The 25,808-nt window shown below is 53.3% G+C and overlaps 4 protein-coding genes, 2 long non-coding RNA genes and 1 other non-coding gene across 18 annotated transcripts in view, besides 3 other annotated features; 3 read left to right on the forward strand and 4 right to left on the reverse strand.

Moving 5' to 3' along the window:
- On the reverse strand, window positions 1-4,721 carry PRRT1 (proline rich transmembrane protein 1). Of its 2 annotated transcripts, NM_001363780.2 has the most exons (6): window positions 4,610-4,721; window positions 3,733-3,813; window positions 3,447-3,537; window positions 2,006-2,221; window positions 1,175-1,360; window positions 1-1,036 (listed from the first exon to the last, which is right to left on the reverse strand). In NM_001363780.2, the coding sequence occupies exons 2-6, from the start codon at window positions 3,738-3,740 to the stop codon at window positions 860-862; spliced, it is 678 nt and encodes a 225-aa protein (NP_001350709.1). In that variant the 5' UTR covers window positions 3,741-3,813; window positions 4,610-4,721; the 3' UTR covers window positions 1-859. The 2 variants fall into 2 exon arrangements, with proteins under 2 accessions (NP_001350709.1, NP_085154.3); NM_030651.4 differs by lacking the exons at window positions 3,733-3,813; window positions 4,610-4,721 and having other exon boundaries at window positions 2,006-2,544; window positions 3,447-3,577.
- Window positions 719-1,256: an enhancer, noted in NCBI's record as "H3K4me1 hESC enhancer chr6:32116858-32117395 (GRCh37/hg19 assembly coordinates)". NCBI's record gives its function as "activates a minimal SCP1, AML or CMV promoter by ChIP-STARR-seq in naive H9 embryonic stem cells {active_cell/tissue: H9 hESC(naive)}" and the evidence as "EXISTENCE:reporter gene assay evidence [ECO:0000049][PMID:30033119]".
- Window positions 4,440-6,003, reverse strand: LOC100507547 (uncharacterized). 4 transcript variants are annotated; one of them, NR_037172.1, is made up of 3 exons: window positions 5,927-6,003; window positions 5,375-5,474; window positions 4,440-4,810 (listed from the first exon to the last, which is right to left on the reverse strand). It is a non-coding gene; the product is annotated as an uncharacterized LOC100507547 (long non-coding RNA). The 4 variants fall into 4 exon arrangements; NR_037170.1 differs by having other exon boundaries at window positions 4,440-5,297; window positions 5,404-5,474; window positions 5,876-6,003; NR_037171.1 differs by having other exon boundaries at window positions 5,876-6,003.
- PPT2 (palmitoyl-protein thioesterase 2) lies at window positions 5,166-15,313 on the forward strand. 3 transcript variants are annotated; one of them, NM_138717.3, is made up of 9 exons: window positions 5,166-5,274; window positions 6,225-6,415; window positions 6,668-6,821; window positions 7,326-7,421; window positions 7,509-7,616; window positions 9,275-9,358; window positions 9,478-9,562; window positions 14,206-14,260; window positions 14,445-15,313. In NM_138717.3, the coding sequence occupies exons 1-9, from the start codon at window positions 5,265-5,267 to the stop codon at window positions 14,586-14,588; spliced, it is 927 nt and encodes a 308-aa protein (NP_619731.2). In that variant the 5' UTR covers window positions 5,166-5,264; the 3' UTR covers window positions 14,589-15,313. The 3 variants fall into 3 exon arrangements, with proteins under 3 accessions (NP_619731.2, NP_005146.4, NP_001191032.1); NM_005155.7 differs by lacking the exon at window positions 5,166-5,274 and adding an exon at window positions 5,779-6,042; NM_001204103.2 differs by lacking the exon at window positions 5,166-5,274 and adding an exon at window positions 5,779-6,032.
- On the forward strand, window positions 5,637-19,923 carry PPT2-EGFL8 (PPT2-EGFL8 readthrough (NMD candidate)). Its single transcript, NR_037861.1, has 16 exons — window positions 5,637-6,042; window positions 6,225-6,415; window positions 6,668-6,821; window positions 7,326-7,421; window positions 7,509-7,616; window positions 9,275-9,358; window positions 9,478-9,562; window positions 14,206-14,260; window positions 16,217-16,295; window positions 17,776-18,258; window positions 18,339-18,448; window positions 18,548-18,643; window positions 18,725-18,895; window positions 18,988-19,067; window positions 19,141-19,294; window positions 19,548-19,923. It is a non-coding gene; the product is annotated as a PPT2-EGFL8 readthrough (NMD candidate) (long non-coding RNA).
- On the forward strand, window positions 16,233-19,919 carry EGFL8 (EGF like domain multiple 8). Of its 2 annotated transcripts, none has more exons than NR_037860.2 (9): window positions 16,233-16,319; window positions 17,776-17,904; window positions 18,136-18,258; window positions 18,339-18,448; window positions 18,548-18,643; window positions 18,725-18,895; window positions 18,988-19,067; window positions 19,141-19,294; window positions 19,548-19,919. NR_037860.2 is itself a non-coding variant. In NM_030652.4 (9 exons), the coding sequence occupies exons 2-9, from the start codon at window positions 17,804-17,806 to the stop codon at window positions 19,592-19,594; spliced, it is 882 nt and encodes a 293-aa protein (NP_085155.1). In that variant the 5' UTR covers window positions 16,233-16,295; window positions 17,776-17,803; the 3' UTR covers window positions 19,595-19,919. The 2 variants fall into 2 exon arrangements, 1 of the variants encoding a protein (NP_085155.1); NM_030652.4 differs by having other exon boundaries at window positions 16,233-16,295.
- Window positions 18,676-19,428: an enhancer, noted in NCBI's record as "H3K27ac-H3K4me1 hESC enhancer chr6:32134815-32135567 (GRCh37/hg19 assembly coordinates)". NCBI's record gives its function as "activates a minimal SCP1, AML or CMV promoter by ChIP-STARR-seq in naive H9 embryonic stem cells {active_cell/tissue: H9 hESC(naive)}" and the evidence as "EXISTENCE:reporter gene assay evidence [ECO:0000049][PMID:30033119]".
- AGPAT1 (1-acylglycerol-3-phosphate O-acyltransferase 1) overlaps window positions 19,850-25,808 on the reverse strand; it is a 9,897-nt gene continuing 3,938 nt past the window's right edge. For 4 of the 5 annotated variants that reach the window (NM_032741.5, NM_001371438.1, NM_001371437.1 and 1 more), the window contains exons 2-7: window positions 22,935-23,143; window positions 22,575-22,708; window positions 22,063-22,238; window positions 21,803-21,898; window positions 21,604-21,676; window positions 19,850-21,086 (exon numbers count right to left, since the gene is read on the reverse strand). In NM_032741.5, coding sequence (NP_116130.2) covers window positions 20,914-21,086; window positions 21,604-21,676; window positions 21,803-21,898; window positions 22,063-22,238; window positions 22,575-22,708; window positions 22,935-23,134 — 852 coding nt within the window. In that variant the 5' untranslated portion in view covers window positions 23,135-23,143 and the 3' untranslated portion in view covers window positions 19,850-20,913. Of the gene's footprint in view, window positions 21,087-21,603; window positions 21,677-21,802; window positions 21,899-22,062; window positions 22,239-22,574; window positions 22,709-22,934; window positions 23,144-24,575; window positions 24,755-25,808 lie in introns of those variants that run through there. The other variant, NM_001371439.1, reaches the window with a different exon arrangement.
- Window positions 20,937-22,136: an enhancer, noted in NCBI's record as "CDK7 strongly-dependent group 2 enhancer chr6:32137076-32138275 (GRCh37/hg19 assembly coordinates)". NCBI's record gives its function as "activates an origin of replication core promoter dependent on BRD2, BRD4, P300/CBP, MED14 and CDK7 cofactors, with strong dependence on CDK7, by STARR-seq in HCT116 cells {active_cell/tissue: HCT116}" and the evidence as "EXISTENCE:reporter gene assay evidence [ECO:0000049][PMID:35650434]".
- Window positions 21,668-21,754, reverse strand: MIR6721 (microRNA 6721). Its single transcript, NR_106779.1, has one exon. It is a non-coding gene; the product is annotated as a microRNA 6721 (primary transcript).

Consider the following 25,808-nt stretch of genomic DNA (forward strand, 5'->3'; position numbering starts at 1 on the left):
TCAACTAAGTCTCTTTAATATTGTCTTTCAGAAGTTCACACACACTCACACACAGATCAGAACAAGGCGGGGCCGCCGAGGGGAGCGGGGAGCGGGGACTTGGGAGGTCCATAGCCTGGATTCCCTTCTGCCCGGCTGCCCAGGGGCTGGGATGGGTGGAAGGGAGTATTTACAGAGCGTTTACAGGCAGGTTTCTTATCCCAGGGAGAAGGGTCCTACACCAGGAACTTCCCAAATGTCCTTAAAAAAAGCAAAAGGAAAGGTTCTGGGATTAGCAAGAAAATAGGCAGATACCTGGGTGGAGGAGGGACAAAAATGTACTTGCAAAAAACAGGAGTGTGGGGGCCTTACTACCCCAGGGCTCGGTCCTTTTGCCGGAAGAAAGGGAGGGGTCTGTCCGTCTGTGGGCGAGGCCTGGAGCCACAAACCCAATCACTGGACTGAATCACCCCGCGGAGAAGAAAAGAAGGCGGAGCCTGCCGACCTGGAGGCGGGGTTTTGTCAGAGCTGGGGCGGTGCTTATAGAGGAGGCGGGGTTTTAGGGACCAAACCGAGGTTGCTCGGTTGGGGGCGCTACACTTTGAGGGTGAGGGGGCCTGGAGCGACTGAGGGTCCGGCGTTTGGCCGGGATCCCGGAAAGCGGCGTCCCTGGGGGTGTGGGTTTTGGAGGGGTTCCTGAGGAACTGGATTCCGAGCTTGCTCGCAAGGCGAGACGTTCCGTGGAGGCGGAGTTTACGATGTATCCAAGTCTGACGGCCCCAGAAACGGGTGTGCAGGGCGCCCATTGGGTCCGCGGTATGACTGCAGAAAGAGCCTGGGAGATCGAGGGGCGCAGAGTGGGGCCGGACCAGGGGCGTTTTTAGGGATCCCAGTAGTTCTCGTGGTGCTGCGCGGCGATGATGATGACTACGGTGAGGATGGTACAGAGCACCATGGCCGCGATGCCCACGGCCAGGGAGATGAAGGAGAAGTTCCGGGCCTCGCGTGAAGCGATCTCGGCCGACACCATGTCTCCGCGGGCCAAGGCCGTGCGCACCTACGGAGGAGGGGTGGGGGAAGGAGGTCAAAGAGCTGCGGCCTCGTTCGAACGCCTCAGCCTTTCTCTAAGATGGTCCCCAGAACGCCCAGAACTCCCTGTCCCCGCCCCCAAACCGAGTATGCCCCTGCCCCCTACCTGCACGGCCTTGAAGATGGCAATGATGCCAGTAGGCCAGAAGCAACAGATGGTGGTCAGCACCGCGATGGGCATGTAGTCGTGTGGCGGGCGCCTCGGCTCCAGTAGGGCCAGCCCTGGGCCCTGGGGCGGCGGGGGGAGAGTGGAGGTCACTCCTGTTCCCCCCGGGGTCCCGCCTGCATATGGCTGTGGAAGGAAATTTGGGGGGCAGGGGCATCACTCTGACCCTCTCCCAGCCTACCAGCGTTGGGCGGCTGGCAGAGTGGCTTTAAAAGCACAATTTTTACCTATGGCTTCTCAAAATAAAGCACCCATTACCCTTCCAGGACACCCATAAATTCCACCTAAGCCCCTCTCCTCCCTTCCTTGCTTCATTAACCACCATATTCTTGGGCTTTCTACATTCTCTCCCGCAAGGTATGGTCCCACTGGGGCTGTCCTGGCCTCAGGTCAGACCTTCTTTCTTCCCTCCAGACACCTACCAGGCCTCCCCTACCCCCTTAGTCCCAGGCTTCTCCCACATCCCTCTTGGTTCCCAGCTTCCATTCCCCCCGTCCCCCGCCAGGCGGTTTCCTACTTTCAGACCTCCTCTGAACCTCTAGGCTCCGATCCCCCTCCCAGGCCCTGACTCTGGGCACCAGTAGACTCCTACTCCCGTGTCTCTCCCTAGTCCTTCCTGTCTCAGGCTCCCTTCTTTCTAGGGCTTGTCCCGGGAACACTACCTGTTCCCTGCCCTTGTTCCTCTATCCTACCAGCCCCCAGCGTATCCCCAATTTCAAGTCCTGTATCGCGTCCCCCTCTTTCCCATGTCCCTGTCTGCCCGGCACTCACCGTGCCCACCGGGTAGACCGGCACGTAAGCAGTGCAAGGCTGCAGCTGCAGGGGGTATCCGGGCGCTACGTAGCCCCCCAGCGGCAGCGTGCCCACAGTCCCCGCGTGCGTGGGCACCACGAAGCCAGGGGCCTGGGCAGTCTGGGCTGGCGCCGGCGGGGGCGGGGCGGCGGCAGCGGGCGGCGGCGGGGGAAGTGGGCCCTCGAAGCGAGTCTCCTGCAGGTAAGGGTCGGGTGGCATGCGGGGCAAGGTAGCGCAGCCGGGTGGGGGTGCCCCGGCAGCAGGGCCGGGAGGGGCGTGGTGGGGGGGCCTCGGCAGCGTGGCAGAGGAGGAGGGACCGCGCTGAGCGGTGGCCGCGGAAGAGGCCAGGCCCCCTGCCCCTAAGCGCGGGAGGGTGGCGGTGCCAGACTGATGGTAGTGGTGGTGGTGGTGATGGTGTGAGGAAGGGGCTGCCTGTGGCGGTGGGGCTGGGGGTTCGGCTGGAGGCTGAGGGGCATTGTAGGGCGGCGGAGAAGTGTGAGGGACTGAGTCTGGGAGTCCTGGGGGAGGTGAGTGGAGGAGAGTATAAGAGGAAAGATGACACAGTGATGAGTTGAGGAGGGGGTAAGGGGAAACACAGCCGGTCAGGGATGGAGAAAGATAATGGGAGAGACACATAGAGAGAGACGGGTGAGAAACCATCTCTAATTTGAGGGGCAAGAGAGGGGCTGTATCTAGGCCATCTGCCCCCCTCCTTCTTCCTTCCAATCTAGTTTTGAGGTCACAACTCTGGTCTGCTTCTTTTCTGTCTTTTTCATCACCATGCACCCAGCTCTCACCTGCAGACCTAATCCCCTCTCCTTTGCTATAGCTGCCTTTGGGCTGGCCTATCCGAGCTAGTCCTGTGTGTGCGTATGCGTAGACATGCAACCCTGTGTTAATATGTGCTCAATTCAACAGTTGTATAAACACATGTGGGATGACATGTGTTCCACTCTGCTGTTCCTTCAGTGGGGGGAGGAGTGCCCCAGCCTCTGTGAGAATCTCGGGACCTCTTTTAGGGCAGATTAAGAAGAGCCCTCTGGATTTTGCTCCCTTGACAACCCCCATCTGGTCATGTCTCCATATTTCCTCACAGGATGTCTCCATGCCAGCCAGTGATTGTCCATCTGTCACTCCCAATGATGCCATCCCTGCAAAACCTGGCTGTACCTCCTTCACCCTCTCAACCTACCCCCCTGACCATGTTGTTGGCAAGGGGCAGAGGCTGCCACTGGAAAGAGGAAAGGAAGAGAAAGGGGGAGACAGAAAGAGGAGGGGGACTGGGGGAGTGTTGAGAGCTGGAGAGAAGGGGAATGAAATAGAACCACAGCTGAGGAGGGGTAAGGGAGGGGGTTGGGGCAAGGGGGACGGAGAGTCTGGAGACAGTGGAGGGGGTGGGAGGTTTTGTTATTGTTTTTACCTGACTTTTCGGATGACATGCCTGCGGTCTCGCTGGGACAGGGTCCCTGCAGCCGGAGTGGGGGTCCTCGGCCGGTGCTGGAGTCTGGGTGCTGGATGGCGCAGCCGGCAGCAGCGCAGAGATGGAGAGATGAAGGCAGCGGCGGGGGGGGGGGGCGGGGGGGGCGGGCGGAGGGAGAGCGGGGAGGGGGGGAGCTTAAAGGGACCGAGGCGAGGGAGGGGGAGCGCTTCAGATGTTTCCCACTCGGTCTCTCTCTGCTCTCGGACCACCTCTCTCCTCCTCTTACCCCGGCATTCAAGCCCCCAGTTTGGGTTCCTTTGGAGTTGTCATGGAAACACGGAGGCTAGACCAGGCGAGGCGGGTGGGACTAAGGAAAGGAAGGAAGGAGAACTCTCTGGAGTCTCCCCCACCAAGACTCAGTGATTGTATTGTGGGAGGAAGTGAACAGGTTCTCAGTGGAGTTAATAACCCAGGTGCCTCCAGAGGCAGGTCGTCTCCCCCTCTTAGCTCCCTGCAAGGTGCCAGGGTCTTCTCCCAAATCCTTGGCCCCAGTTTCCTCCTCTTTAGAAGAGATAAATACTTGTGTGTGAGAGAGAATTGTGCAGAGTTCAGAACTGCGATGGTCTGAAAAGTTCCCAGGGTTTGGTGAACCTACCAACCTAGCAGTAAAGAGGGAGGCCCAGGTCTGTAAATCAGGGGGAGCTGGGCCTTGGAGGGAAAAGGGAGAGAGAGTTTGGGCGGTGTGCATACATACCTTCTTCGTCCAGGACTAAGGAGCTGAAGCTCTTTTGGAGGGGGTAGGGGGTATGACTTAACTGCTCATTTCTGGCAGCTCTGTTGGTAATGTGTGCTTGTTCCCCCACTTTCCCTTTGCTTTTGAGGCTGCTTAGAGTCTCTGGGCTGGTCAATGTTCAGATCCATTCCCTAAACCCCCCTACTCCCACCCACCACCTCCCACCAAGACGCATCTCCAGCTCCTGAGTCGACCTGCAGTACAGCGTTATTAGTCTTTTTATTTGCTTATTGCATCTTGGGAGCGCGTGGGTGGGTGAAGGGAGCGAGGATAGGAAGTCTATGGAGATTTACACCAGTTTTTTTTTTTTTTTAAACAAAAACACAGCCAGATAATTATTATTCTTCCCTTACGTCCCCCCAGCCCCCACCTGGGGCAGTCGCTCTCCCGGCTGCGTCCCTTTTCGTCCATGTCCTAGCAGAGACTACAGAGCAGTACAGAGGCTCTCGCTGAAACCAGTCCCAGGCTCCACAGAGTCAGATCACGGCTTCACACCAGTCGTTCTGGTCACTTAGGCGTTCGCGTGAGCGCTCAACCCCTTACCGCCACCTCATCGTCACTCTACACCATTCTGAGCGCAAAAATGTTTTGATTGAGACAAATTTAGACCAAGCAATGACCTTGTAAACAGAGAGAGGGGCTCAGACATGCTGAGAAATCCTTATCTCTAGAGAAACGTCTTTAAATGCTAAGTAAAAGCCCTAGCAAGTAAAAGCCCTGAGGCACTAGGGTGTCGGTTAGGGGTCACAGGCGGAGAGGTGGGGCGCCTGGGGGTTTCGGTAGGGAGCCACCCACAGATAACTCAGACAGCCAGATTCTGGGGGTCGTTCAGGTTGAAAGACTGGTCGAAATTACGCGGGCATGAGTCAGCGCATCCCTACGCGCCCTCCGCCCCTTGAGGGTGGGTCGCTTATAGGGAGGGGAGTAGAGTAGGGCAGGAGAAACTGGGCCAGGCTGCACTTAGCTCAAGGGGCCTCGAGGACTCTCTGCGTCTCTGGAGACAAGGGCACTACACGCACTTCAGAATGAAGAGTTGTAAGTCGCTGACCTGGGGCGGACTGGAGGGTGGGGTGGGGTGGGTGTTGAGGGGCACGCCCGGGCTGGCATCAGCCCTCCAGGCCACCCTGCCACTCACCCAGCACACGGCAAAATGCAGAGGACTACCTTTCCCTGGTCCGCCCCCTGGCCGCCCCTTGGGGAATGCAAACTTCGTGTTCTGCTGCGGAGCCAGACGCCTGTATTGGGAAGTGGGGAGAATCAAGGCGGGGAAATCGGACTTTTGGGTCGCTGGGGGCAACGAAGCCTGGAGAGGCCTTCTTTCCATTCCCAGAATATGTTTGCTGCTTTTTCCTCTCCCCACTGGCCTAAATGGATCGCTCCGCCTGTTTCCTCCCCAGCACCTAGGGCGCAATGGAATATTCCATTGCCCCTCCTGTCCTGGGTCTGTGTTGCGGGGAACGCTCGCGCGGTTGCCAGAGAAAGCCCCGGACGTGACGGATTTGCGCGACCCCAAGCAGCCCGCCCTTCCCCCTCCCATCCGTCATTCCCCTGCGCTCTCTTTCCTCACCCTTCCCCCCGCCACCGTGGGTTCCAGACTTGGGATAAGTAAACAGCGGGTGGAGCGAGGCCTACGGACCCAGGCCAGGTGGGAGTCTGCACTCTTCAAGGGGCCTGGGCTGCTGCTCACGGGTATTAAAGAACTCCGCGTTGTTCATGGCTGAGGCGATGCATTAGGAAGATCCTGGACCTAGAGAACAAGTCCCCCGAACGCTGAGTTGGAGGCGGGACTTCGGGTGCGCGTTGGTGCGTCAACGTGGTGGGGGGGTGTGTTTGTAGGGAGAGGGCTGGAGTAAGTTAAAAGTAGGCTATTTTGTGACACGGACCTGGTGTGGGAGCGAGAGGAGGTGGCTTGATTGCCGGGCGTCTGTTCCGAGGGAGGAGGGTGTTGCCATCTCCCTCACATGCCCTTATCACCCCTTTCTCAGGCGGGAGCATGCTGGGGCTCTGCGGGCAGCGGCTCCCCGCGGCGTGGGTCCTGCTTCTGTTGCCTTTCCTGCCGCTGCTGCTGCTTGCAGCCCCCGCGCCCCACCGCGCGTCCTACAAGCCGGTCATCGTGGTGCATGGGCTCTTCGACAGCTCGTACAGCTTCCGCCACCTGCTGGAATACATCAATGAGGTCTGGCAGGGGACACCTGGGTGCAGGGCGTTAGAGGCGTCTACTGTGGCAGGGGAGGGAGAGCGGGGAACTGAAAGCCACCCCTCTGGGCCTGCCCAGTTCCTCAGGGAGCTGGTGCTGGCGTGGGGGAGAGTTGGGGGACGGGATCCCTGGTTCTAGCAGGGTACAATAGACCTGTGGACGCGGGCCAGGGGGTGGCGTGTGGGAGCTTCTTAGCCTATCCCCGGTGGCTGCATTGCCCCCTTCCCACAGACACACCCCGGGACTGTGGTGACAGTGCTCGATCTCTTCGATGGGAGAGAGAGCTTGCGACCCCTGTGGGAACAGGTGCAAGGGTTCCGAGAGGCTGTGGTCCCCATCATGGCAAAGGCCCCTCAAGGGGTGCATCTCATCTGCTACTCGCAGGGTAGGCGACTCCCCTGCCCCTAACTCCTAAGCCCTATCTGAGGCTTGATCCTTATCTGAGGGACACTTCCTAGCGTCCCTTTTTCTGAACCACATTGCTCCAGGCACAACCCTGGTACCTGAGCCCTTCCTTTCTGACTTCCCTCAGCACCTGGGTCTCATCTCTGTCTTGAATGGGAGGGAGGCTCCCTACACTGCTGCCCTTTTGCTTCCTGTTACCCATGGTTCTTGGACATAAGGGCTAATGGGGCAGGTAAAAACATCCTAGAACTAGAGGCAGGAGGCCCAGCATCTAATTCGGGCTCAGTCACTTATATGATGTGTGACCTTTTGGCACAGGGTGTGCCTGCCTTCTGTAAGCCTCAGTCTCCTTTGTGTACAGTGTGTGTCTGTGTGTGTCTCTGTGTGTGTGTGTGTGTGTGTGTGTGTGTGTGTGGTGGGGGTGGGGGGTGCTGCTGGCTTTGCTGTCCTTAAGTGCCTGCCCAATGTGGTGTTCTGCTTACAGGGGGCCTTGTGTGCCGGGCTCTGCTTTCTGTCATGGATGATCACAACGTGGATTCTTTCATCTCCCTCTCCTCTCCACAGATGGGACAGTATGGAGGTGAGTGGGCACTAGACTCCATAGAATGCCCTGAGTTTTGGGGGAACAGAGGTTTATGGTCACTTAGCATTGCCATTCGCTTGCCAGACACGGACTACTTGAAGTGGCTGTTCCCCACCTCCATGCGGTCTAACCTCTATCGGATCTGCTATAGCCCCTGGGGCCAGGAATTCTCCATCTGCAACTACTGGCATGGTGAGTGGGGATGCTGAACTGGGGCTTCCATGGATCAGGTCAGTTGCTTCCACCTCTGCTACAACCAATAGCAGTGATGACAATAAAGATAACTTACATTTATTGAGTTATTTGAACAGGCTCTGTTCAGAATTTTTTTTTTTTTTGAGACGGAGTCTTGTTCTGTTGCCCAGGCTGGAGTGCAGTGCACCATCTTGGCTCACTGCAACCTCCGCCTCCCAGGTTCAAGTGATCCTCCTGCCTCAGTCCCCCTAGTAGCTGGGATTACAGGCAGGCGCCATCATGCCCGGCTAAGTTTTGTATTTTAAGTAGAGATGGAGTTTCGCCATGTTGGCCAGGCTGGTCTCGAACTCCTGACCTCAGGTGATCCACTCGCCTCGGCCTCCCAAAGTGCTGGGATTACAGGTGTGAACCATTGCACCTGGCCCAGAATGTTTTAAGTGTGTCACCTTATTGCCTTAGAAGGTTTAGTCTGATGTGGGAGTCAGCAAACCTTGTCTATAAAGGGCCAGAGAGTAAATATTTTTGACTTTGTAGGACATATAGTCTGTTTCACAACTCCTCAATTCTGCTGTTGTAGTGTGAAAGCAGCCATGTACCATATGTGAATGAATGTGCCTGTGTTCCAGTAAAACTTCATTTACAAAAACAAGTAGCAGGCTGGATTTGGTCCTTTGGTCACAGTTTGCCAACCTCTAGACCAGACCATGGGGCCAGAATACTTGGGTTTGAATCTTGACCCTATTGGGTGCCTTTGGGCAAGTTACTTAACCATTCTGTTACTCAGTTTTCCTTATCTGTAAAATATTATAGCATGTACTTCACCAGGTGGTTGTAAGGATTAAATAAATAAATGAATGCAATGTACTTTGAATAGTACCTGGCTCATATAGTAGATACTAGATAGAAGTACTTGCTATTGCCAGGTGTGGTGGCTCACACCTGTAATCCCAATATCTTGGCAGGGGGAGGTGGGCGCATCACCTGAGGTCGGGTTCGAGACCAGCCTGGCCAACATGGTGAAACCCCATCTCTACTAAAAATACAAAAAAAATTTAGCTGAATGTGGGCACACGCTTGTAATCCCAGCTACTCAGGATGCTGAGTCAGGAGAATTGCTTGAACCCGGGAGGCAGATGTTGCAGTGAGCGGAGATCCTGCCACTGCACTTCAGCCTGGGTGACGGAGTGAGATTTCATCTAAAAAAAAAAAAGTACTTGTTACTATGTTTACGGTTGTTATCACTACTATTATTATTTTGAGATGGAGTCTCACTGTGTCTCCCAGGATGGAGTGCAGTGGTGCAGTCTCGGCTCACTGTAACCTCCACCTCCTGGGTTCAAGTGATTCCAGCGCCCCGAGTAACTGGGATTACAGGCATGCACCACCACGCCTGGCTAACTTTTGTATTTTTAGTAGAGACAGGGTTTCGCCATGTTAGCCAGGCTGGTCTCAAACTCCCGACTTCAAGTGATCCACCTGCCTCTACCTCCCAAAGTGCTGGGATTACAGGTGTGAGCCACCGCACCTGGCCTACATTATCACTACTATTTTATTACTATCCACCTTGACTATTGCTGCAGCTTCCTTATTGGGCTTTTCACCACCAGTCTTGCCTCCCTTTTCTGCTTCTTTTTCTAACTGCTGTTTGTACCCAGATCCCCACCACGATGACTTGTACCTCAATGCCAGCAGCTTCCTGGCCCTGATCAATGGGGAAAGAGACCATCCCAATGCCACAGGTGAGAATTCAGGCTCCTACCTGTGTTGCTTTTTCTGCTTCTTTGACTCCCTATGTCTCCCTCTCCAACCTGGCCTGACCCCTGTGGCTGACTCAGCCTCTCTTCTTCCCATCCTACAGTATGGCGGAAGAACTTTCTGCGTGTGGGCCACCTGGTGCTGATTGGGGGCCCTGATGATGGTGTTATTACTCCCTGGCAGTCCAGGTAATAAGGGATTTTGTGGCCTGAAGATTGGCTAAAGACATCCCCCAACCCCAGTTGGTCTTTATCTCATGCCTAAACTGGCCTGCTCCTTCCACTGTTCAGTTAGTGCTCCTCCCCCCATTCATCATGTCACCCAAGACCAAAACCTGGGAGTCATATCCCAACCCCTTGTATCAAGCCAGTCACTAAGTCCTGCTGACTCTTCTCCTCTCCATCCCTATCACCCCCTCCCCCACTTTATAAAAACTTTTAATTTTGAAATTCTTATAGATTCATAGGAAATTGCAAAGATAGTATAGCAAGGCCCTTCACCCAGCTTCCCCCAGTGGTTGCATCCTATGTAATTATAGCACAGTATCAAAACCAGGAAATTCACATTGGTTCAATGTGTGTGTGTAGTTTTATACCATTTTATCACATTTCCTACCACCTCTTTACTTACCTGGACTATTATAACAGCCTCCAGCTTTGTCCCCTCCATCCTATTCCTTAGAAAAAAATCCATGGCTCCATGGTACTATGTGCTTGCCTGTGTTATAGGTCACCATGTGTGATCTGTAATGTCACCTGAGCTACTTGAATTGCTCAACAAATATTTATTCAACATTATGGGCGCAGGCTTGTTCTGGGCCCTAGGGATGCAGTGGTAAATAAAAGAGAAGTCCCTAATGTTATGTAGCTTATATTCTAGTTTGTAAGATAGCTGATACATACATACAAATATATATGTCAGGTAATAAGGCAGGGGAAAGGATTAGAGGATGTCCGGGGCCTAGTTTCAATAGTGGCCGAAGAAGTCCTCCTGGAAAAGTCACCATTCAATTAGAGACTGAAGGAAGTGAAGGAGGGAGTTGTGCTCTGGGTGGAAGAACCCCCCAGGGAGAAGGTCTGGCACCTGCAGAGGCCCTGAAGCACGTGTGAGCAATAAGGAGGCCAGCATGGCTAGTGCACAAGGAGCTGGGGAGAGGACAGGAGAGGAGCTAAAAGTGGTAGCAGGGGACCAGGCATGTCAAACCTTAGCAGGTCAAGGTAAGGCCCTTGATATTTTTTTTTCTTTTTTTTGTGATAAAATATACATAACATAAAATTGCCATTTTAACCATTTAAAAATGTACAGTTTTGTGGCATTAAGTATACTCACATCATTGTAAAACCATCACCCATCAGCACCATCCATCTCCAGAACTTCTTTTTCCCCAAACTGAAACCGTATACCCATTAAAAAATAGACTGGGTGTGGTGGCTCACGCCTGTAATCCCAGCACTTTGGGAGGCCGAGGCAGTGGATCACCTGAGGTCGGGAGTTCGAGACTAGCCCGACCAACATGGAGAAACCCTGTCTGTACTAAAAATACAAAACTAGCTGGGTGTGGTGATGCATGCATGTAATCCCAGCTACTTGGGAGGCTGAGGCAGGAGAATCGCTTGAACCTGGGAGGCAGAGGTTGCAGTGAGCTGAGATTGCGCCATTGCACTCCAGCCTGGGCAACAAGAGCGAAACTCCATCTCAAAAAAAAAAAAAAAAAAATATATATATATATATATATATCCTCATCCCTATTTCCCGACAGTCCCGGTAACCAGGCTTTTGATTTTTTTTTTTAAATTCTGAGTGAGATGGGAAGGCACTGGACAGTTTTCAGTGAAGGCAGGACATCTCTTAAAATATTGTAATAATATAATAGTAAGTGATGAGTTTTATGTACATCATGTCATTTCACATCTACCACAACCCTATGAATGACAGTGATAGCTCATGGTTATATAACATTTTTCATGTTCCAAGTCACTGTTTCTTCCTTTTTTTTTTTTTTGAGACAGAGTTTTGTTCTTGTCGCCCAGGCTAGAGTGTAATAGCACAATCTCGGCTCACTGCAACCTCCGCCTCCTGGGTTCAAGCCATTCTCCTGCCTCACCTCCCAAGTGGCTGGGACTACAGGTGCCCACCACCATGCCTGGCTAATTTTTAGTATTTCTGGTAGAGACGGGGTTTCACTGTGTTAGCCAGGATGGTCTCGATCTCCTGACCTTGTGATCCGCCTGCTTCGGCCTCCCAAAGTGTTGGGATTACAGGCGTGAGCCACTGCGCCTGGCCAATATATATCTCTCTCTATATATAGATAGATATATATTTTTTGAGTTGGAGTCTTCGCTCGGTCGCCCAGGCTGGAGTGCAGTGGCGTGATCTCGGCTCACTGCAAGCTCTGCCTCCCAGGTTCACGCCATTCTCCTGCCTCAGCCTCCTGAGTCGCTGGGACTACAGGCACCCGCCACCACGCCCGGCTAATTTTTTTGTATTTTTAGTAGAGACGGGGTTTCACTGTGTTAGCCAGGATGGTTTCGATCTCCTGACCTCGTGATCCACCCGCCTCGGCCTCCCAAAGTGCTAGGATTATAGGCGTGAGCCCACGCACCCGGCCTTGCCTGGCCAATATTTTTTAATTAAAAGATTTTAACTCCATCTGGCTGGGTGCGGTGGCTCACGCCTATAATCCCAGCACTTTGGGAAGCCGAGGCGGGTGGATCACCTGAGGTCAGGAGTTCGAGAACAGCTGGCTAACATTGAGAAACCCCATCTCTACTAAAAATACAAAAATTAGTGGGCCTGGTGGCGCACGCCTGTAGTTCCAGCTACTCAGGAGGCTGAGGCAGGAGAACTTGAAACCAGGAGGCGGAGGTTGCAATGAGCCGACAGGGTGCCACTGCACTCCAGCCTGGGTGACAGAGCAAGGCTCTGTCTCAAAAAAAAAAGAAAAAAAGGATTTTAAGACCTTTCTATTTTGAAATAATTTCATACTTAAGAAAAGTTTGCGCCTGTAATCCTAGCACTTTGGGAGGCCGAGGCATGAGCCCAGGGGTTTGAGACCAGCCTGGGCAACATGGCAAAACCCTGTCTTTACCTAAAATACAAAAATTAGCTGGGCGTGGTGGTGTGCCCTTGTAGTCCCAGCTACTTGGGAGGCTGAGGTACGAGAATTGCTTGAGCCTAGGAGGCCAAGGCTGCAGTGAGCCGAGATCTCACCATTGCACTCCTGCCTGGGTGACAGAGTAAGACCCTGTCTCAAAAAAAAAAAAAAAAGTTACCAAAATAGCAAAAAGCAGTCATTTATACTCCTCACCTAGATTTCGCAAATGTTAACATTTTGTCATGTTTACATTAATATCTTTTTTCTCTAAATATATATACATTTATTTATATACGTTAATGTTATATTTAAATATAAACATAGATTCAAATTTTCCTGAATATGCGCTCACAGATTATTCAAATTTTTCCAACTGTCCTTACAGAAAAAAATATACAGTGGAAGATCCAAATCAGGATCTTGAGTTGCATGATCTTGTTACGTCTCTTTAGTATCTTTTTGTTTGTTTGTTTGTTTGAGTTGGAGTTTCACTCTTGTTGCCCAGGCTGGAGTGCAATGGCAAATCTCGGCCCACTGCAACCTCCGCCTGCCAGGTTCAAGTGATTCTCCTGTCTTAGCCTCCTGAGTAGCTGGGATTATAGGCGCCCACCACCATGCCCAACTAATTTTGTATTTTTAGTAGAGACGGGGTTTCTCCATGTTGGCCAGGCTGGTCTTGAACTCCTGACCTCAGGTGATCCACCCTCCTTGGTCTCCCAAAGTGCTGGGATTACAGGCATGAGCCACCACACCTGGCCTCTTTTTTTTTTTTTTTTGAGACAAAGTCTCACTCTGTCGCCAGGCTGGAGTGCAGTGGCGCCATCCCGGCTCACTGCAACCTTTGCGTCCCAGAATCAAGCAATTCTCCTGCCTCTGCCTCCTGAGTAGCTGGGATTACAGGCGCCCACCACGCCCAGCTAATTTTGTATTTTTAGTAGAGACAGGGTTTCTCCGTGTTGGCCAGGCTGGTCTCGAATTCCTGACCTCAGATGATCCACCCTCCTCGGCCTCCCAAAGTGCTGGGATTACAGGCTTGAGCCACCACGCCCAGCTAATTTTGTATTTTTAGTAGAGATGGGGTTTCACCACGTTGGCCAGGCTGGTCTTGAACTCCCGACCTCAGGTGATCCGCCGGCCTTGGCCTCCCAAAGTGCTGGGATTACAGGTGTGAGCCACCTCGCCCGGCCAGTAATGCATTTTTGATGGGGTTTCTACAGAAGTGAGGTCGTATCTTCAGTGTATCACCTCATGAAGTACATTATATCCAGTAAGGTAGTTTTGAGTGTCCTCCCTGCTACCTGTCTCCCCAGTAGGCCTTGGGTTCCTTTGGGACCTTAGCCCACCTTGATTTCTTCCTTTCTTTTTTCCTTTTCTTTTTTCTTTCCTTTTTCCTTTCCTTTCCTTTTTGAGATGGGGTCCCGCTCTGTCACCCAGGCTGAAGTGCAGTGGTGCGATCTCGACTCAATGCAACCTCCACCTCCCGGGTTCAAGTAATTATCCTGCCTCAGCCTCTTGGGTAGCTGGGCTTGCAGGCATCTGCCACCATGCCCAGCTAATTTTTGTATTTTTAGTAGAGATGGGGTTTCACCATTTTGGTCAGGCTGGTCTTGAACTCCTGGCCTCAGGTGATTTGCCCTCCTTGGCCTCCCAAAGTGCTGCAATTACAGGCGTGTGCCACTGCGCCCGGCCAGATTTTCTCCAGCTCTTCTGATAACCTCCCCCCAAATCTCTTTGTAGCTTCTTTGGTTTCTATGATGCAAATGAGACCGTCCTGGAGATGGAGGAGCAACTGGTGAGCCCCCTGGGATTACTTCCCCTTCTAGCCGCTGTCCCACCTTATTCCAGAGCCCTCTCTGTGACTCCTGAGCTGAAGGGTTCACCCTGTGGGGAGGAGGTCCAGGATCCCAGCAGTAACTCACTTTGTCTCTCCTTGTGTCTCTCTTCCATGCTTCCACGCCCCTTCGACCACCTTGAAGGTTTATCTGCGGGATTCTTTTGGGTTGAAGACTCTATTGGCCCGGGGGGCCATAGTGAGGTGTCCAATGGCCGGTATCTCCCACACAGCCTGGCACTCCAACCGTACCCTTTATGAGACCTGCATTGAACCTTGGCTCTCCTGAGGATATATTCAGGGGTCCCCAGGAACTCCTCGGTCCAGAGACCAAGTGGTGGCCTTGGAAAGCAGATGTCAGGCTTTGGTGTGCCTGTGACCACCTCATTGCTCCCATATTATCCCCCATTTTTAGTAGAGACGGGGTTTTAGTAGAGACTTGGCCTCCCAGAACCCCCTTCCTCTGCTCCTCCATGAATGACAATTCCAGGCCTCCCCTACCTCATGTCCTCTCATTTGGGGGATTGCTCCGTGCTGTCCCTTTCTCTCAAGGCCGAAGTTGGGAAGTGAGAAACCATGTTTTTAACTTGTGGCTGCTTTTGCTGCTGCTGCTCCTCCGTATCTGGCTGTATGGGTGGAGAACCCACCCCCTGCCCACCACAGGGGTCTCCTTCCAGGCCACTCAGGACATTTTTAGCTTCTCTCCTCCCCATGTTCCCTTTTTTCTCTAAAGTCCCCTGACATCAGCCCTCCCAACTCCTAAGAGGGACTACCCATGAGAGTGGGGTTCTGAGGCTCCCCTATGGGGACAGTTCCGTTCTTGAAGTGTCAGTGTTGGGGAATATCTGTGGCCTATGAGGCCCATCTCAGGTTTGGGGATCCCCCAGTCCCTATGATCAGTGTTGGAGTACCCCCCTGGGAGAGCCTAGTTTCTTTGAGGCCCCAGGCCCTCTTTTAACTACCTTTGAATAGGTGTTATCCCTGTATTTATGGAAATAAAGTTCCATTTCCTCAGTGTGACTTGGCTCATTTCCAGGTGGAGGGGACCTGGCTCCCCAAGGAGGGTGGGGGTGGAGCCTGAGGCCTGGGTGCCCAGATGCCTGGTCTAGGGTGGGGACCCCCTTGGTGTTTCCGCTCTCTCTCAATGCCCATTCTTTGTGGGTTCCTGGTTCTCTGCGGGTTCTTTCCTGCTGAAGACAATTCTCTTCCTCTCCCAGTCCCCAAGACTGGGGGGTTAAGCTCAGGGCTCCAGTGGTTTGGGCCTCAGCCTCATGGGTGGAATGCGCCTGCCACCCCCAGGCTAGACGAGGGGGCAGAGGGTCAGGGTGGGCATTCGTTGTGCCGCTTTTGAGCTTTGTGGGCCAGAGCTGGGTGTAGGGCTGGACAATGAGCCTCCTCTTCCTTGAAAGAAGGAATTTTGGCTGAGACAATAGGGCCCTGTCTGTTCTGGCATGGGGGGTGGTGGCTGACTCAATTCTGTTCCCCCTAAGCCCTAACAAATGTCATGAAGAGAGGGGGGCAGTTTTCCCCTTGGTGCCCTGGGCTGCCCCCCTGCCCCTTTGTGACGACTTGCCCTTCTAGCTTTCCTCAGCTGATCTTGCTTTTTCTCCCATAACCTGAACTGCTTTGTTCCCTGCAGCTGGTTCTCTCCCTGCCCCCTAACTCTCCCCTAGTCTGTTTTGGGTTCAAGGGGGTACTGGTGGTGTTACAGAGCTCATAGCTTCTGATCTGGGGAGTCCAGAAATAGGGGCCTCAGAGGGTTGGAAAGATACTTCTAGGGAGCCCTTTGCTGGGGTGGGGATGAGGGTAGTGGGACTTGACCCTACTGAGCTGACCCTGCTGGAGCTAAGGAGGAGGCTTGTGGGAGGGGGCAGGAATGGGAGGACTCTCTGGCCCAGCCCCTCCTCTCCTTCTTAGCCTGCCAGGCCCACCCACCAGTCTGAGCTGCTTCTGCTGAGGCTGGTCTGCTTGAAGCCTCCCAGGAGAAAGAAGCCAGGTGGGAATGGAGAGAGAGAGGAAGGCAAGTGGGGAGAGAATTTCAAATGGGGAAAGAGTGGGGTTTACTCAGAGCCTTAGGGTGGGCATGAGTTGCGGGGTGTTTTGTTGGAGCAAGGGATGTGCATTTAGGGCGTTATGTGACGGTGTGGGTATATGAGGGGAGTAGCAGTGTGTGAAAGGTGTGGAGTTTCCAGGTGCTTGGTTTGTGTGTACGGTGTGAAGGTATATAGCTAGGGGTTTTTTTTGTTTGTTTGTTTTGTTTGTTTTTTTGAGACGGAGTCTTGCTCTGTCGCCCAGGCTAGAGTGCAGTGGCATGATCTTGGTTCACTGCAACCTCTGCCTCCAGGGTTCAAGGGATTCTCCTGCCTCAGCTTCCCGAGTAGCTGGGATTACAGGCGTCCACCACTGCGCCTGGCTAATTTTTTGTATTTTTTAGTAGAGATGGGGTTTCACCATCTTGGCCAGGCTGGTCTCGAACTCCTGACCTCATGATCCACCCACCTCAGCCTCCCAAAGTGCTGGGATTACAGGTGTGAGCCACCGCGCCCAACCAGCTAGGGTTTTGAAGGTATGAAGTTATAAGAGGGCATGTTAAAGACAGGAGGGTTGGCCAGGCATGGTGGCTCACACCTGTAATCCCAGCACTTTGGGAGGCCAAGGCAGGCGGATCACCTGAAGTCGGGAGTTCGAGACCAGCCTGACCAACATGGAGAAACCCCGTCTCTACTAAAAATACAAAACAAAATTAGCCGGGCGTGGTGGCAGGCGCCTGTAGTCCCAGCTACTCGGGAGGCTGAGGCAGGAGAATGGCATGAACCCGGGAGGCGGAGCTTGCAGCAAGCCGAGATCGCACCACTGCACTCCAGCCAGGGTGACAGCGAGACTCCGTCTCAAAAAACAACAACAAAAAAAAAACCAAAAAAAAAAAACCCTAGCTATATACCCTCACACCCTACAAAACAAAACAAAACAAAATTAGCCAGGCGTGGTGGCGCATGCCTGTAATCCCAGCTATTTGGGAGGCTGAGGCAGGAGAATCACTTGAACCTGGGGGGCGGAGGTCGTGCGGTGAGGCAAGAACATGCCATTGCATTCCAGCCTGGGTAGTAAGAGCGAAACTCCTTCTCAAAAACAAAAACAAAAAAAAACCCAAAAAAAGACAGGAGGGTCATAAGGGGAGGGTTGACTGTGTGTCCCTCCAGGTTGTGCAGAGGGGATTAGAAGTAAGTAGGTTAGAGGGGAGGTGGAGGGAGTGTGCTGGGGTGTGAGCTTTTATGATGCTGAAAGGATCATGATATGCTAAGGACAGGATAGTGTTGGGTTGTACACACAGGTGTAGGCAATCCTGGTGGCTAGTATGTAAAAGTGAATGTCCTGACTCCCTTAGAGGGTACCTGCAGAGTGCCCTTGGAGGGACTAGTGCTGGAGAAATTAATAGGAGAGGGGACGGGCATCCATTAACCTTTTCTTGCCTGCAGCCTGTAGGGTCCAGCGTCAAAGCGAATCATGGGGTCCAGGGCTGAGCTGTGCACTCTCTTAGGCGGATTCTCCTTCCTCCTGCTACTGATACCAGGCGAGGGGGCCAAGGGTGGATCCCTCAGAGAGAGGTGACAACAGAGGGGGTAGGGCCCGGGGTGAGCTCTTCTCAGGAGCCTTCTGCTGGGGGTGGGGCTTCACAGGAGGCAAAACATAACTGTAAGTTTAGAATGGGGGTGAGAGGCTGTCATCTGGAGGGAGAGCGGGGGGCCTCAGTAGCCTCTTGAGGGAAGTGGGACTCCTGGCTCCCCAGGGCCTGGCCTACTCAATCTCTCCCACCTCATCCTCTGGCATGGACGCAGTCAGGGAGTCTGCTCCAAGCAGACACTGGTGGTCCCGCTCCACTACAACGAGTCCTACAGCCAACCAGTGTACAAGCCCTACCTGACCTTGTGCGCTGGGAGGCGCATCTGCAGCACTTACAGGTGAGGGATGGGGAGATGGGACCCCAAGAACCCCAACTAGGACCCGTACTCAGGGTCCTGAGCCGGGCGCTGTGTTCCAGGACCATGTACCGCGTTATGTGGCGGGAGGTGAGGCGGGAGGTTCAGCAGACCCATGCAGTGTGCTGCCAGGGCTGGAAGAAGCGGCACCCGGGGGCGCTCACCTGTGAAGGTGAGGCTGGGTCTTCCGGGCCTTGCGGGAGGCGCGCCCCACGGAGCTGGGGAGCTGGGTCGTCGGTTTGAGTCTGAACCCCACTTCCTCTGTCCTCAGCCATCTGCGCCAAGCCTTGCCTGAACGGAGGCGTCTGCGTTAGGCCTGACCAGTGCGAGTGCGCCCCCGGCTGGGGAGGGAAGCACTGTCATGTGGGTGAGTCAGCTTGTCCTCCCCACCTACCCAGGTGCTTGCCCCCGCCCCCTCTCTCAGCCCCTTCCTTTTTTCGGTAACTAGACGTGGATGAATGTAGGACCAGCATCACCCTCTGCTCGCACCATTGTTTTAATACGGCAGGCAGCTTCACCTGCGGCTGCCCCCATGACCTAGTGCTAGGCGTGGACGGGCGCACCTGCATGGAGGGGTCCCCAGAGCCCCCAACCAGTGCCAGCATACTCAGCGTGGCCGGTGAGTGGGCAGGAGTACGGGCCACCCGAGGGACTCGGGACGGGCGTCCGGGCTCGGGTAGTGGTCACACTCTTGGTCTCCTTTGTCCCTAGTTCGGGAGGCGGAAAAAGATGAGCGCGCTCTGAAGCAGGAGATTCACGAGCTGCGAGGGCGCCTGGAGCGGCTGGAGCAGGTGAGCCAAGCCTGCTGGGTGGGGCGAGGCCAGACGTCACTGTCAATACCCTGAGGCATCTCTTCCTTTCTAGTGGGCCGGTCAGGCTGGGGCCTGGGTCAGAGCGGTGCTGCCCGTGCCGCCTGAAGAGCTGCAGCCAGAACAGGTGGCTGAGCTGTGGGGCCGGGGTGACCGGATCGAATCTCTCAGCGACCAGGTGCTGCTGCTGGAGGAGAGGCTAGGTGCCTGTGAGTCCTCACACTCCTCCCGCCTTGACTTCTATTCCCCAACTTTCCCCAAGACCCCTCTCCATTCAGGCATTCCCTCTTTCCTCCAAGCCCCTCTCCAACATTCACTATCCTCATGCCTCTCCACTTTACCATCGTTCTCTTCTGAAATCCTGTCCCCAGCCCAACAGTTTCACTTATTGTTTGGTGAGAGTGGCAGTGTAGTCCACTCCAGGCTGACCACAGCCACTGTGTCTGCCATGTCATTAACCAGGCTCCTGTGAGGACAACAGCCTGGGCCTCGGCGTCAATCATCGATAAGAAGCCTCTACAGCACCCCTGCCCCCTAATTTATACAGAAACCGGACCCACTAATCCTCTGGGATTGGCCGACTGTGAGCTGCAGATAAGGCTATCAGCCACCAAAGAGCAATGAACAATGGAAACTTCAGAGAGCTGAAGAAAGGGGGAGGCCTGTGTTCTTGGCCTGCCCCTGAGTCTTCTGGCTGGGGGCAGGTTGCCTGGGCAAGAACTGCTTCTTCAATTCCTTAACAAATGCAACCACCAACACCCAGATCTCTCTCTCTCTTTATTTTCAGTTTTTTTGCTGTTATCCAGATAATTAATAAAAACCAACCACGCAAAACTGGGTCCCACCCTCTCCTTTTGCTCCCAGCCTACCTCCCCAGTTGTGGGAACAGGTCTGGAGTGAGAGGCAGGGAGTGGCTAATGCCACCAGGAAGAAATGAAAACTGGCTCAGAGAGGGGGAAGCCTCAACAGAAAAAGAAATAAATTAAAAGCCCTCCTATCCCCTCCAGCCAGGGTTCGTTCCTTTCCCCAACTCCCCAGGGGGCAGAAGTGAGTGCAGCACCTGATGTCTGCTTCTTCCCCTTGTGTCTGGTGAGATGGTGCAGCAGGGCTGCAGGGGGCTGGGTGGGGTCATGTCCACTGAAGAACTGTACTATGGGGACAGAAAACCAGAAATGTGGAGACTGAACTGGTATCCCAGAGAGTGCACGACCCTGGGCATCTGGGCAAGGGCAGGCATGAGACCTCTGAATTAGAAGGGTCCAGCCCCCACTGACAGGAGGCTACACTGGGAGGGAAGGTGAAGGTGCTGAGGAAAGCTCCCATGATGAGCCTGGGAGTGCTTCAGGTATCAGCTTCCAGCCAGAGGGCGAGAAGTCCTCCTCACAAATGGATGAGTCCATTGAATCCATGGACTTTGGAGTGGGGGGGATTTGTTCCAAAGAATGGATGAGTCCACTGGCCAATGTGGGGTAGAGGGGTAGAGAAGACCACATAGGAAGAGACTCCACTGGGGATGGAATGTTCCCCTCCCTTGTGTAGGCTGAGTCACTGGAGATGAGGGGGAGGCAACTGTCCCACAGACAAGACAGTAGGAGGTGGGGGTCAAGAGTGGAGACTGCACCGAGGCAAGAGTCCATGGATGGGGCCAAGAGGGGGCAGGAGTGGCGCTGTATCCACATTCACTTCAGAAGTTGAAGATTCCAAAGAGGAGAATAAGTGGGGAGAGGGGAGACAAGGAAGAGGGTTTGGCCCTGCTTCAGGGCCCACTGGGTGGGTAGGTGTGGGGAGGAAGATGGGGACAGATGGGAGGAGAGCTCAGAGCCAGGGTTCACCCACCGCCCCCAGGCTTCTTCAGATAGTCACCACCACCCCGGCCATCAGTGGAGATTTCCCGGAAAACAGTGAGCATGGAGTGCCGGACTCTGTCAGCCAGAGCTGGGACGTCATCTGGTGTCAGCCCTTCCGTGGGCACTGGGGGCAGCACCCGCACCTGACATTGTCCTGGGGCAAGGGGAGCACCATCATGGCCTGTCCACCCAGGTCTTTGCCCACAGGTGGGGCCCAGCTTCCGAGTGATACTCTTCCTCAACCTTTCAGTTCTCTTCCCCCAACCCTGGACAACCATCCCTGGGCTTGCCAGCTGCCACTTCTGAGGCCCTTCTCCTATACAAAGCCTTCTCCAATCCCCAGTTCAGACATCTCCTCAGCACCCCTCCAGCCCCCCTCCTCTGGGTTTGGCATTTACTGCTGAATGAGTGTTATTCATTACAGCTTTGTGCACACAGGCCTTATCTTTCCTGTTAAGATTAGTAACAGCCTCTCTTGGTGGGACCAAGTGCTACCCATCTGGCAGGGTATGGTGGGTGCTTAGTAAAGACTTATTGGCTGATGTGGGGTTAGACTAGATGACTGTGTAGACATCTCATGGCTCTGACACTGAATGATCCCCCTGCCTCACAGGGATGTCCTCCCAGCCTCTCCGGACACACCCTACCCCAGAACTGCTCAAAGCCCTCACCCGAGGTGAAGCGACGCTCCTTCTTGCAGTAGAAGTCTTGGTAGGAGGACATGACTATGGGGACAATGGGAACCTGGGGAAGGGTTAAAGCAGGTCAGTCCACAGCTCTCTTCAGAGACTCCTACAATAAGCCCCTGCCCAGAGATGAGGGAATGGTGGGGGTTGGCAGCTGAGTAGCAGAACGAAGAGCAGTAGTCACCTGGGCCTGCACTGCAAGATGGAAGGCGCCACGTTTGAAGGGCAGCATGGAGCCATTGTGGTTTCTCGTTCCCTCAGGAAACACCCAGACCCTCACCTGGGGGAGAAAGAGGGTCAAAGAAGACAAATACATATGGAGGAGTCAGAATAGGTGTGATGTTATAATGGGACCTTTGAGGCCCACTGGCCCTGCATATCAGTTTATTTACAACTGTTCTACTCTGTATCCCTCCAATCCCCCATTTCCCCAGGATGACTCACGTCCTGGGTGAGCAGGGTCTGGGCGACCTCAGACATGACACTGATGGCATCCCCCGTGCGCTTCCGGTCGATGAAGATGACTCCTGCCAGCCAGCAGGCCAGCCCGGCAGAGCCAGCCCACAGTAGCTCGCGCTTGGCAATGGGCACACAGCGGCCTGGCAGTACCTCCATCATCCCTTGGGCAGGGTGGGAGTGGGTGAGGATCGGGGTGGAGGCAGAGTGTCACAGAAGGCAACCCACCTCACCCAGCTCATCACCCTCTGGTAGGGACTGGAGGTGAAGGAGGAGACTAGGCAGGGAGGGGGGCCCCAAGTGAAGGAAAGGGTGACCAAAAGTATATGTAACCTGCTTATGAGGGCAGTTCTACCCAGGGAATGAAGGCCTGAGTGGGAGGCAAGGGGGCAATGTCCCAGAGGAAGGGGAATTGAGGATCTCTAGGAGAAGATATTCTAGGGAAGGTTTCAGGAGGGGAGGCATGGCTGGGGGAGGTGTGCCCTGTGGTGGGGTCTCACCAAGCAGATCGAGAGAGCTCTGGTGGTTGGAGACAACAACATAGGGCTGCGAGGGAGGGAAGTGGTGAGCCCCTCGCACCTCCACTCGGATCCCGTACAGGTATTTGATGTGGAGCAGCATTAGACGCAAGATCCTGTGGGGTCATGGCAAGGGGTCCCAGTGGGATCCATTGATGTCCATCTGCATGCCTCAGCTCCCCCCACCTTACTGTCTTTCTGACCACCTTTGCAGTCCTCTCCCCATTCCCTGTCTCTGGTCTCTCTCAGTCTTTTCTACACACACCATGCCCCCTTCCCCCAATCCACTACTCACTTTGTACCCTTAGGTTCCCTCATTGCCCAAGACCCCTTGCCCCTCACTTCATGTTCTCGACGTTGCGTCCTCGCACGGCACACACAGGGATGGCGAGCACAGCCAGGAAGAGGATCCAGCCATTGTAGAAGGCCATCTTGAAGAAGTACTTGGCACTGGGGCTGCAGAACCACAGGGTGGGCAGCAGGAAGAGCAGCAGCAGGAAGAGCAGCAGCAGCAGCATCCATGCCCCTGGCCACAAATCCATTCTGGCCACCTGCAGGGGATGGGGCAAGGGACAATCAGCCTGGTTTCTGGAGGAGAGTGGGGTAGGCAAGGCACAGAAGGCAGGGCTGGGGGCTGGTGCTATGAGGACAAGGGCCTGAGACACAAACTGGGGCAGGGGTCTCATTGAAACCTTCCCAGGAAGGCTCTCTAGGATGAGGGTGGTGGAGAAAGAGCTCAGGACTGCTCTCCCACCACTCTTCCCAAAGGCTCCGGATATATTCAGACAAGAGACACAAGACACAGACATCTACAATTCACAGATACCTGATAATAAATGACAACAAGAATAATAGCTAACACTTGTAGCTGGTAAGGGTCTTATAATGGTCTATACTTGTGCTGTCCGAGAAAGTAGCCACCACCTACATGTGGCTACTTGAAATGCAGCTAGTCTGAACTGAGATGTGCTGGAAATGTAAAATACACATCAGATTTCAAAGACTGAATAAAAAACAAAATGTGAGATATCCATTACTAATCTTTTATGCTGACTACATTTTGAAATTATAATCTTGGGCCGGGCGCAGTGGCTCACGCCTGTAATCCCAGCACTTTGGGAAGCCGAGGTGGGCAGATCACGAGGTCAGGAGTTCAGGACCAGCCTGACCAACATGGTGAAACCCCGTCTCTACTAAAAATACAAAAATTAGCCGGGCCTGTTGGCGCATGCCTTTAATCCCAGCTACTCGGGAGGCTGAGGCAGGAGAATCGCTTGAATCCGGGAGGCGGAGGTTGCAGTGAGCCAAGATCACGCCACTGCACTCTAGCCTGGGCAATGGAGTGAGACTCCATTTCCAAAAAAAAAAAAAGAAATTATAATCTTTTGGATGTTATCAGATTCAAGAAAATATATTACTAAAATTAATTTCACTCTTTTTGCCTTGTAAAAATGTGGCTACCATAAAAAAATTACATTGTGGCTTGCATTATATTTCTGTAGAACAGTACTGGTCTATACATTAAGTTAAACTCTTAAAATGATGCATATGATAGTCTAGAAAGTACTATTACTATTTACATTTTATAGGAAATAGGCCCAGGGAGGCTAAATAACTTACCTGAGGTCATACAGCTCCTAAACAGCAGTTTCTAGGTTAAATCTAAGCCGCCTGTGTTCCTAACCACTCCATTACGCTGACACTGGTATGTATTGCATATATATATACGAACACAGCACACAGCATATATGGTGATTGTGACAGAACACTCACAGCCATATACCCAAGGGCCAAATGGCAAGATTAAAAGTTCGTGTCACTAATGCCAACAGACACACAGTCATACAAAGACTAACATGTTCACACATAGACACAAATTTATAATTACACCCAGTGACAGATAAAAGAATGTAAATGCATAACTAGAAAAATCCCTCTCCACCCAGGCAGCTCCCCTATTCCTAGGTAAACTTATGGACATACCTGGAATAGCTACAAAGACCAATCCTACCTCCAGACAGGCAAACGAATCCTACTACCCTTTCCCTTCCTTCTAGTGACACTTTGCGTGGGCAGGTACAGTGTGTGAGGCCTCACCAAGTGAAAAAAGGAGGGAATGGAGTAAAGGTGACCTAACAGCACTTGCCCTGGGAGAGGAAAGGGCTCAAGAGGAAGAGAGGCAGGAACACAGAACCTGTGTTCTAGGTTCTTCCTCCTTCCTCCACTCTGCCCCAGTGTTGGGGGCAGGGTAACAATTCACAAAAAGGGTGTTCAGGCAAATACCTGTCATTCCTACTGAGGCCACAGGCACTGTCTTCCCATGATGGGAAGGGCTATGCTCAAAGGTAAGCCTATTGCCAAGCGAGAAGGTAACAGGCAATAGAGGAAACAGGAGACCCTGCCAGTTGGAATACCGTAGGCTTTCTGAGCTGCTCCATCCCACTGCCCCTACAAGTTCAGAACAGCATCATTTCTCCCCTGAACTATGTGGAGTAGGCTCCCAACTCCCTCCAATCCATCTTCCACGTAGCAACCACAGAGATTTTTCTGTTAGCACAGATTTTTCTGAAACACAGAGCATTTCCCTGTCTTGCCTAAAGGCTCTTCTTGATAAGTTGACTTCTGCTTACATCTTCGACCACATCCTCACAAAACTCTTTGTTCCAGTCAAACTGATTCACTTCAGTTCCTCAGACACCATGATCTTTCATGCTTCCCCACCTTGAACATGCTGTTCCCTTTGGCTGGAATGCCTGTCTCTTCTCCTGCCTCACACAGCTCAGTGTCACCTTTTGGAGGGCTGCCTGAACCCCTCCAGGCCTGTGCTTTCCTTACACTTTTATCTTGATCAGCGGGTCTCGAAGTATAGAAATGCAAATTATTAGACTTCACCCCAGATCTACTGAATCAGAAATTCTGGGCATTAGGTCCAGCAATCTGTTTTTCTTTTTCTCACTCTGTCACTCAGGCTGGTTTTGAACTCCTGGACTCACGCGATCCTCCTGCCTCAGCCTTCCAAACTGTTGGGATTACAGGTGTGAGCCATCGTGGCTGGCTAGCAATCTGTATTTCAACAAGCCCTCTGGTGAGTCTGATGTGCGCCTGAATTTAAGAACCACTGATCTTGACAACACACTATGTGTTGACTGGCGTTTTTGTTTCCCTCCTTAGGCTGTAAGCAGCTTAAGGACAGGGACTCTGTCTTATCTCCAGTGC

This window comes from Homo sapiens, chromosome 6 (genome assembly GCF_000001405.40).
Source record: "Homo sapiens chromosome 6, GRCh38.p14 Primary Assembly".
NCBI classification, from domain to species: Eukaryota; Metazoa; Chordata; class Mammalia; order Primates; family Hominidae; genus Homo; species Homo sapiens.

What these genes read in the sequence shown, in the direction of transcription:
- PRRT1 (NM_030651.4), bottom strand. An exon ending in CGGTCTACCCGGTGGGCACG is followed by an intron (nt 1,361 to 2,005) that starts GTGAGTGCCGGG and finishes TTCCTTCCACAG; the next exon opens with CCATATGCAGGCGGGACCCC. An exon ending in CCATCTTCAAGGCCGTGCAG is followed by an intron (nt 1,037 to 1,174) that starts GTAGGGGGCAGG and finishes CCTCCTCCGTAG; the next exon opens with GTGCGCACGGCCTTGGCCCG.
- PPT2 (NM_138717.3), top strand. An exon ending in TGCTGGAATACATCAATGAG is followed by an intron (nt 6,416 to 6,667) that starts GTCTGGCAGGGG and finishes CCCTTCCCACAG; the next exon opens with ACACACCCCGGGACTGTGGT. An exon ending in TCTCATCTGCTACTCGCAGG is followed by an intron (nt 6,822 to 7,325) that starts GTAGGCGACTCC and finishes TTCTGCTTACAG; the next exon opens with GGGGCCTTGTGTGCCGGGCT.
- EGFL8 (NM_030652.4), top strand. Translation starts at nt 17,804, where the DNA reads ATGGGGTCCAGGGCTGAGCTGTGCACTCTCTTAGGCGGATTCTCCTTC. An exon ending in GGGGGCGCTCACCTGTGAAG is followed by an intron (nt 18,449 to 18,547) that starts GTGAGGCTGGGT and finishes CTCTGTCCTCAG; the next exon opens with CCATCTGCGCCAAGCCTTGC. An exon ending in GCCTGGAGCGGCTGGAGCAG is followed by an intron (nt 19,068 to 19,140) that starts GTGAGCCAAGCC and finishes CTTCCTTTCTAG; the next exon opens with TGGGCCGGTCAGGCTGGGGC.